Genomic DNA, 8,570 nt, shown 5'->3' on the forward strand with positions numbered 1-8,570 from the left:
CACAGGGCAACTGAGCTTTAAATTTTATTTAAAATTAATTTGGGCCAGGCGCGGTGGCTCACCCCTGTAATCCCAGCACTTTGGGAGGCCGAGGCAGGCAGATCACCTGAGGTCAGGAGTTCAAGACCAGCCTGGCCAACATGGTGAAACCCCCACCTCTACTAAAAATACAAAAAATAGCCGGGTGTGGTGGTGAACACCTGTAATCCCAGCTACTCGGGAGGCTGAGGCAGGAGAGTCACTTGAAACCGGGAGGCGGAGGTTGCAGTGAGCTGAGATCGCACCACTGCACTGCAGCCTGGGTGACAGAGGGAGACCCCATCTCAAAAACAATTTAAAAATTACAATACCAGACTCACAGGCCCCCCTCTCAGCTAGTGAGTGACTCTGCCCAAGGCCACGGCTCCTGCCGGCAGCCCCACCCCTTCAGGTTGGACAACTCAGATCCAGAGAAACAAAACTTTAAAAAGCAGGTGCCATGGGATGTGGTAACTCTATACAGGGTGTACAAGGACACCAGAAAGGCAGCTGCCTTGGAGTGGGGGCACAGAAAGGGCATCTCACGGCAGGGCCCGTTCCCGTCTTTACCTCTAGCTGGGTTAGCTCTCTCAGCCTGCCCTGCCGGGCTACATTCAGGGGAGCAAAACTTTGCCCAACATTTGGCAAGTGATTATCCACCCTGAAATGTGCTGGTGATATTATTAACTCATTTCCTTATCAACAGGTAAGACACTAGCATGAGCTTCCATTCATTCTGCAGAAATGTTGGCATTTATTCCTTTAAAATCAGTTTCATATTAACCTACATTATGTTCTGTGTTTAACATTTTTCATGAGAAACATTACACAACCTTCGCCTCTAGCTTACAAATCCCACACAGAAGGTATAGACAAGAAGCCCACATGGGGCCGGGTGCGGTGGCTCATGCTTGTAATCCCAGCACTTTGGGAGGCCAAGGCGGGCGGATCACCTGCGGTCAGGAGTTTGAGACCAGCCTGGCCAACATGGTGAAACCCCATCTCTACTAAAAATACAAAAAACTAGCCAGGCGTGGTGGCAGGCGCCTGTAATCCCAGCTACTTGGGAGCCTGAGGCAGGAGAATCACTTGAACCTGGGAGGCGGAGGTTGCACTGAACCAAGACCACGCCATTGCACTCCAGCCTGGGCAACAAGAGTGGAAACTCCGTCTAAAAAAAAAAAAGGGCTGCGTGTGATGGCTCATGCCTGTAATCCCATAACTTTGGGGGGTCAAGGTGGGTGGATCACTTGAGGTCAGAATTTCAAGACCAGCCTGGCCAACAAGGTGAAACCTCGTCTCTACTAAAAATACAAAAATTAGCCAGGCATGGCAGCGCGTGCCTGTAATCCCAGCTACTCAGGAGGCTAAGGCAGGAACATCGCTTGAACCTGGGAGACAGAGGTTGCGTGAGCCAAAATTGTGCCACTGCACTCCAGCCTGGGAGACAAGCACAAAACTCCATCTCAAAAAACAAAAAACAACAAAAAAAAGAGAAGCCCACGTGGCTGGTCCTCGAGAGCATGTGTGTCACTGACCCCGCAGCAGGACGTGCCTGTCTTTCTAGGGGTTTTTACTCTACCTGCCATCTAGACTGGTCACCCGTAAAAGAGGAAACCTATGGGTGGTGGGTGTAACCCAGTCCACTGACACAGTCAATGACTCACTGAAGGGCGTGCAGACCTGTGAGTATCTGCTCATAACTATAATAATCCACCATTCCTCTCTGCCACCTTGCATCCTACAGGCCAGAGACAGTTATGAGTTCATAACAGTGTTGTTCAGAATATTAAAAGGTTACGTATGCTATTAGTGTAAAACTAGCATTAAGGGTTTGTAACCAGAAAGCACTGTGAATAGAAATGTGTCCTAACATTAGTAACTATAAATCTCGCATAGCTAATCAAGAAACTACTGTAAACAAAGGATCCTAGATGTCTTGACTCAGGGTGCCTGGCACATAAAAATATTTAAAGATTAAAGCAATGTCTGAAGCACAGAAGTGAAGGAAGTTACCAAGGCTGGTCAAAAGCTAATCCTGTGTGCAACGAATTCTCAATCTCATGTTTGCGTCTATGATCATCTAGTAACATCTCTCATCCCTGGATTTTCCGGGTGGGTGGGTGATAAATGGGCCTTAGAGCCTAGGCAGGGATCTGAACTACACACCTGTCCTTACACACAGCACAGAACCCTCTGAAAATCACTTTCCAGGAAAAACACTGCGATCTCCACCAAGCCTGCCCCTCAGCTACAATCCCAGACACACTCCAAGAGAACTGGGGGTCAGCCGGCCACGCCCACCTGGGAATGGAGAAGACACCCACAAAACAAGGGGAGGAGCATCAGCAAAATGATGGCTGCTTATCACAGGCTTGCCCCTTTGACAGATGAATTACAAACTGGCACGGAGGACTACACGCGGTGGAATGTGGACTCGACTGCGCCACTGAATACTGGTACCCTGTACATCTGGTCCTCTTGAAAATTTCCTAGCAAAAGAAAACTTGCGTTTTGCTTTGTGATGTCTTTGCTTCTGCCTTGCGGGGGTGGGGTGATTATATGGAACCGACCGTGTGTGCCTACGCGTGCAGACCCTCCTGGCCCCTCAGGTAAAGGAACCGACGGTGTGTGCCTGCGCGTGCAGACCCTCCTGGCCCCGCAGGTAAAGTGTCTCGTCTACCCCCTCTGCCATCACTGTACCTCACGTGGCCTCCACCACAGCACGTCATGTCTGCCATTGCGTGTGTGCCCATTACATGGCGAGATCCTTGAAGACAGAGACTCATTCCCCGTCTGCCTCCCACCACCTTGAACACTCCCAACTCCTAAAGTGCCAACACAGGTTTAATTTGCCGAATTAAATCTTCAGTTCTGCTGATTCTGCTGAGTACATTCCTCTGCTACAAAGCTAATGGTTCCAAAACAAAATGATTAAGTATTTGAATCCTGGAGCATCAACACTGCCTTTTAAAATACAGCAAAGTCTAAACTAGTCCAGCTGAAACATCTGTGAGCTTCAGTTCCAATGAGGGAGTCCAGGGAGTTAGAAACTGGAAGAGCACCTTTTTTCAGTGGCCGGGAAGATGGCGGACATTCAGACTGAGCGTGCCTACCAAAAGCAGCCGACCATCTTTCAAAACAAGAAGAGGGTCCTGCTGGGAGAAACTGGCAAGGAGAAGCTCCTGCGGTACTACAAGAACATTGGTCTGGGCTTCAAGACACCCAAAGAGGCTACTGAGGGCACCTACATTGACAAGAAATGCCCCTTCACTGGTGATGTCTCCATTCGAGGGCGGATCCTCTCTGGCGTGGTGACCAAGATGAAGACGCAGAGGACCACTGTCATCCGCCGAGACTACCTGCACTACATCCGCAAGTACAACCACTTCGAGAAGCACCACAAGAACATGTCTGTACACCTGTTCCCCTGCTTCAGGGACGTCCAGATCGGTGACATCGTCACAGTGGGCGAGTGCCGGCCTTGCCGGCCTCTGAGCAAGACAGTGCACCTCAACGTGCTCCAGGTCACCAAGGCTGCCAGCACCAAGAAGCAGTTCCAGAAGTTCTGAGGCTGGACATCAGCCCGCTCCCCACAATGAAATAAAGTTATTTTCTCATTCTCCAAAAAAAAAAAAAAAAAAGAAACTGGAAGAGCAGCATCACGGCCACGGCCCAGACAGGCACCACCACCTGAACAGAAGGAAGGATGGGATGACCAGCAGGACTGGACTCAGCCATTACAGGTGGAACATGCAGAGGAGAACTGCTGCAGAGGAGAACTGCTGCAGAGGCCCACAGTGACGACGCCTGGGCCTTACACTGACCAAGAAGGAACACAGCCAAAGACGCTCAGGTTCCACCGAGAGGGCACGCCAACATGGTGACAGCCAACCGCACCGAGCTGAGTCCAGTGCAATCACAGATTCTGCTCACTTAATTCCCCTGCTGGTGTCCAAGCAGCCCACCTCTCCAGAACAGAGACCCCATGACGGTGACTGTAAGTCACAAAGACGGCCCCTCTTTACAGGCAGCTCCTCCTGAAGCCGGACCAGAGAGAGAATTCACTAACTGCCTGGAGTTTGGTGACAGTGATACTTCTCCCTGTAGGGCAATAAGCTGGCAGTCTCGGTCGATTCCCAGTCTTGCTTGATTTTTAGTTAAAATTTGGAATGACTCAGTCGTCAGGGCCTCATTACCTCAGACTACTGACAAAAAGCGATCTCCGGGCAGCGAGGAGGAGGAGCAACTGCCAGTGCATCACAGAAAGCTGGTACTACAAACATGGCTCTATTTTAAATAAAGAGGCCAGTCTAATCAGTCTCACTTATGATCACTCGCACTCCTGCGTCTCTAGAGAGAAGAGACAGGACAAAGCTGTCACTTAGAACTGCGAAAGGTACACACAACCCTAGGTTCACAGCTGGGTAACATCAAGGGACTTCATACTGAGAAACCACCACCTCAGGCACCTACAGGACTTTCTGCTTCCCCCACACCTGAATTCTGTATACAAACATTCACGGCTCCATCTACACCACCTCGTTTCACCTGTTCCTATCGGGTATTAGAAACAACAGAGCACAGCCAAAAACCAAACACGATTTCCTCAGGAAAAGAGTACCTGGTGGAGGCCACACTAGTATCCAAAAGTAAACACAGATCTATACACAAAGTGAAAACCAAAAGCAAGCAAGCCTCATGTCACTGCAGAGACGTGAAGGGCAGGCTTGGAAGTCAGGACTCCGGCCTCAGCTCCCGACCCTCCACCACTTACCTGTGAGAGCCTGGGCTAAAGATTTCTTAATCACATTTAGCCTGTTTCCTCACCAGTAAAACAATGAGAAAATGAACGCAAAATTTTGCCAGGATTAAATATAACAAGGCACAGAGTCTGTCCCGTGTCCTCAATAAAATGACAGTAATTATCACGATTTTCCCTTTAGTTGTTGCTTGTCAAAATCGCTAAAAGCCAACTGAAGGCATTCTCACTTGGGAAAGTATGCTACTTCTTAAGGCAATCGGGGGAAAAAAAGCTCCTCTTCAATCTGAGTGATGTCAGATGATTTATTTCCTTCTTGCCATTTAAGGTATACTGCCTGAAAAGATATTAAAGGGTTATAAAGCGCTATGTTGATGTCGTTTAAAAGACAGTTCAAAATAATCCACGACGACGGGTGTGGCTGCTCACACCTGTAACACCAGCACTTTGGGAGGCTGGGGTGGGAGGATCGCTTGAGGCCAGGAGTTCCACACCAGCCTGGGCAATACAGCAACACACCCAGTCTCTTAAAAAAAAAAAAAAAATCCATGAGTCATCTGTAAATGGCTTACACTGGCCCAGTGACAATAAACTCCAACCTCTTAAGAATCCAGCACCTGCCTACACCAACATCCTTACCGCCATCGCTTTCCCCCTTTGCCATTACACTGTGGCCACATCCTCCGCCCTCAGGGTCTTCAAACTTTCTGCCTGAGGCGCGCTTTTCTCACAATTTTGCCTGGCTTGCTTCTCGTCATAGAGGCCTTAGCACGGAAGTCGCCCGCCCCCCAGGCTCCCACTTAGAGTAGCGGACCCCACCCAACCACCGCCCGGTACCCTCTCGCTGGCGACCCTGGGTGTCCCTGTCCTAGGTGGGCTCCGCGGGGGCAGTGACCCAGACCCACAATACCCAGGACCCGCCACACGACTGACATTCGTCGGGTTCATACCCGTGACAACGCCCGGCCCCACTCGCTCTGGCCACCTGGAATGAAGACAAGTCGGCCAGCGACAAAGACAAACAAGGAAGTACACGGACTCCTGAAACCCCGACTTCCCACGAACCACCCGACACCATGTCACGCCTTTCAGCTGCAAAGGGCCAGGCTAAAGCAAGCACTGCCCGAGTGGTGGCAGTGGACAGCTTCGGGACAGGCCGCGCTCGTCGGGCGCAGACAAGCATTCAGGAGGGCTCGCGGGCACCGGCATTTACAGAGCCAGCTCCGCCGCAGCTGAAGGCGGGCGCCCAGGCCCGAGGCCACCGCAGCGAGGCGGGGGTGACTGGAACGGGGCCGTCCCGCCACGCTGCAGGGACGCGCCCAGGCCCCGCCGCCGCCCCTCGAGCCTCCCCCGCCCATGCACTGCGGGAGCGGGAGCGGGAGCGGGAGCCCGAGCCCCGAGGCGCCGCGGCCTCCGAGCCCCTCACCCTGCTGCTCTGGCAGCCCCGGAGGCCGCCCGGCCCGGATGCTCCGGCGGAGACGTGGCCGTGAGAGGGGCGGGGCGAGCGGTGCATCGGCCTCGGGTCCCCGGAAACAGCCTGCACGCGCTACTTTCGTTCCGGAACAGAGAACGTCCTCCTCTTCTTCAAGTGGCCACCCTAGGGCCGGGGACCCTCTGCCCACAGGGTCCGGATCGAGCTCACCTCCGACTGTGATGAGGCCGCCTTCAGAAAGTGACCTTAAGAGTTTGCGGACCTTTCCCTAGTAGAAACGCAACTTCCGGAACTGCAGGACCAACTCTTTCAGGAAGCTGAACCGAGCTTCCGGCGGAAGTGGCGTGGCCGGGGCTCGGCATGGGCGCGGCCGAGCTCGGTGTGGGCGTGACTTCCCCGCCCGCCCTAGTCGGGTCCCCGCCCCAACCCCGCACCTCCACCCGGCCGGCGCCCTTCGCGCTTCAGGTGCCAGATCAAAGGCGACGCTGCTTTGGACCCTATTTGCTTCCCCTTTAAAAAGGGCAAAGCTGGACGGCGCGGGCCGCTGGCCGCTGGGGAACGGCTTTCCACCTTCCCTCATCCGCCAGGCCGCTCTTCCAGCTGTCAGGAAGGAAATGGCCTGGAGGGCGCCTCGGGGTCCTCTGTGATGTTGCGCTCATCTCTGCGGATTTTGGAATACGCTTCAGTCTACGAAGTTTTCTGGGATTTTGATGGGAACTGCTGCAGATCGTTTGGGGAGCACGGGCATCGCTGACTCGGTCCTTCATCTGCGTCCCTGGTGGCCCCTCCATTTATTTCGGTCTTTTGATTTCTTCCACCAGCATTTTGTAATTTCAGCATACAGATTCTGCACCTTTTAAGTTTATAGTATTTCACATCAAACAACTGTAACACTGCGTTTTTGACGTTTTCCACGTGTTCACTGTTGGTCTACACAAATGTGATGAATTCTATGTTGATTTTCTTATCCTGAGACCTCGCTGAACTCATTAGTTTGAGGGTTCATTTGGTGTTTTGCGGTTGTTGTTGTAAAATCCTTGTATTTTTTACATGGGCCATCATGTTATCTGCAAATGCAAATTCTAACACAAAATGATCAGACTGAGGCGTAAAATATACAACTTTTAGAAGAAAACAGAATTTCTCACATCTAGAGCTTGGGGAAGAGTTCTTAGATCTGACCAAAAAAACACAATTCACAAAAGAAGTTGATAGAGTAAACTTCATGAAAAAATTAGAAACTTTTCACCGGATGCGGTGGCTCACGCCTGTAATCCCAACACTTTGGGAGGCCAAGGTGGGCGGATTACCTGAGGTCAGGAGTTTGAGACCAGCCAGGCCAAATGGTGAAACCCATCTCTACTAAAAATATAATAATTAGCCGGGCATGGTGGCATGTGCCTGTAATCCCAGCTACTCAGGAGGCTGGAGGAGAATCGCTTGAATCCAGGAGGCGGAGAGGTTGCAGTGAGCGGAGATCGTGCCACCAGCCTGGGCAACAGAGCAAGACTCCGTCTCAAAAAAAAAAAAAAAAGCCGGGCACAGTGTCTCACGCCTGTAATTCCAGCACCTTGAGAGGCCGAGGCAGGTGGATCACAAGGTCAAGAGATCAAGACTATCCTGGCCAACATGGTGAACCCTGTCTCTATGAAAAATACAAAAAAATTAGCTGGGCGTGGTGGTGTGTGCCTGTAGTCCCAACTACTCGGGAGGCTGAGGCAGGGGGATCACTTGAACCTGGGAGGCAGAGGTTGCAGTGAGCTGAGATCGTGCCACTGCACTCCAGCCTGGGCGACAGAGCGAGACTCCATCTCAAAACAAACAAACCAACCTTGTGAGAAAGACCACATTAAGAGGATGAAAAGATGAGTTACAGACTGTGAGAAAATATTTTCAAACCACGTTTGTTGAAGGACTAGTAGCTAGAATATATAAAGAACTCTCAAAACTTGACAGTAAAAAAAAATACAATTATTCTGGGCACAATGGCTCATGCCTGTAATCTCAGCACTTTGGGAGGCTAAGGGGGCAAATCACTTGAGGCCAGGAGTTTGAGACCAGCCTGGCCAACATGGAGAAACCCTGTCTCTACTAAAAATACAAAAATTAGCCAGGCGTGGTGACGCACACCTGTAATGCCAGCTATTTGGGTGGCTGAGGCACAAGAATTGCTTGAATCTGGGAGGCGGAGGTTGCAGTGAGCTGAGATTGTGTCACTGCACTCCAACCTGGGTGACAAAATGAGACTCCATCTCAAAAAAAAAAAAACCATACACACACACAAACAGAAGACAAGCAAAAAACATGAAAACACATTTCACTAAAAGGATATATGAGTGGCAAATAAGCTTGTGACCA

General features: G+C 51.2%; 1 protein-coding gene and 1 pseudogene across 16 annotated transcripts in view, besides 4 other annotated features; one reads left to right on the plus strand and one right to left on the minus strand.

Moving 5' to 3' along the window:
* The window catches only part of GOLGA3 (golgin A3), a 60,168-nt gene extending 53,683 nt beyond the window's left edge, over positions 1 to 6,485 (minus strand). For 4 of the 16 annotated variants that reach the window (NM_001389689.1, NM_001389686.1, NM_001389683.1 and 1 more), the window contains exon 1: positions 6,207 to 6,273. The gene's annotated coding sequence lies outside the window, so the exon portion shown is untranslated. Of the gene's footprint in view, positions 1 to 2,322; positions 2,511 to 5,010; positions 5,118 to 5,211; positions 5,307 to 5,419; positions 5,794 to 6,206; positions 6,274 to 6,422 lie in introns of those variants that run through there. The other 12 variants (NM_001389687.1, NM_001389685.1, NM_001389688.1 and 9 more) reach the window with 10 other exon arrangements.
* Positions 3,085 to 3,641, plus strand: RPS11P5 (ribosomal protein S11 pseudogene 5; annotated as a pseudogene).
* Positions 5,551 to 5,650: a silencer, noted in NCBI's record as "silent region_5128". NCBI's record gives its function as "represses an Ori minimal core promoter by ATAC-STARR-seq in GM12878 lymphoblastoid cells {active_cell/tissue: GM12878}" and the evidence as "EXISTENCE:reporter gene assay evidence [ECO:0000049][PMID:35858748]".
* Positions 6,151 to 6,210: a silencer, noted in NCBI's record as "silent region_5129". NCBI's record gives its function as "represses an Ori minimal core promoter by ATAC-STARR-seq in GM12878 lymphoblastoid cells {active_cell/tissue: GM12878}" and the evidence as "EXISTENCE:reporter gene assay evidence [ECO:0000049][PMID:35858748]".
* Positions 6,361 to 6,500: an enhancer, noted in NCBI's record as "active region_7392". NCBI's record gives its function as "activates an Ori minimal core promoter by ATAC-STARR-seq in GM12878 lymphoblastoid cells {active_cell/tissue: GM12878}" and the evidence as "EXISTENCE:reporter gene assay evidence [ECO:0000049][PMID:35858748]".
* Positions 6,581 to 6,790: a silencer, noted in NCBI's record as "silent region_5130". NCBI's record gives its function as "represses an Ori minimal core promoter by ATAC-STARR-seq in GM12878 lymphoblastoid cells {active_cell/tissue: GM12878}" and the evidence as "EXISTENCE:reporter gene assay evidence [ECO:0000049][PMID:35858748]".

The sequence above is a fragment of the Homo sapiens genome, chromosome 12 (assembly GCF_000001405.40).
Source record: "Homo sapiens chromosome 12, GRCh38.p14 Primary Assembly".
Taxonomy (NCBI): domain Eukaryota; kingdom Metazoa; phylum Chordata; class Mammalia; order Primates; family Hominidae; genus Homo; species Homo sapiens.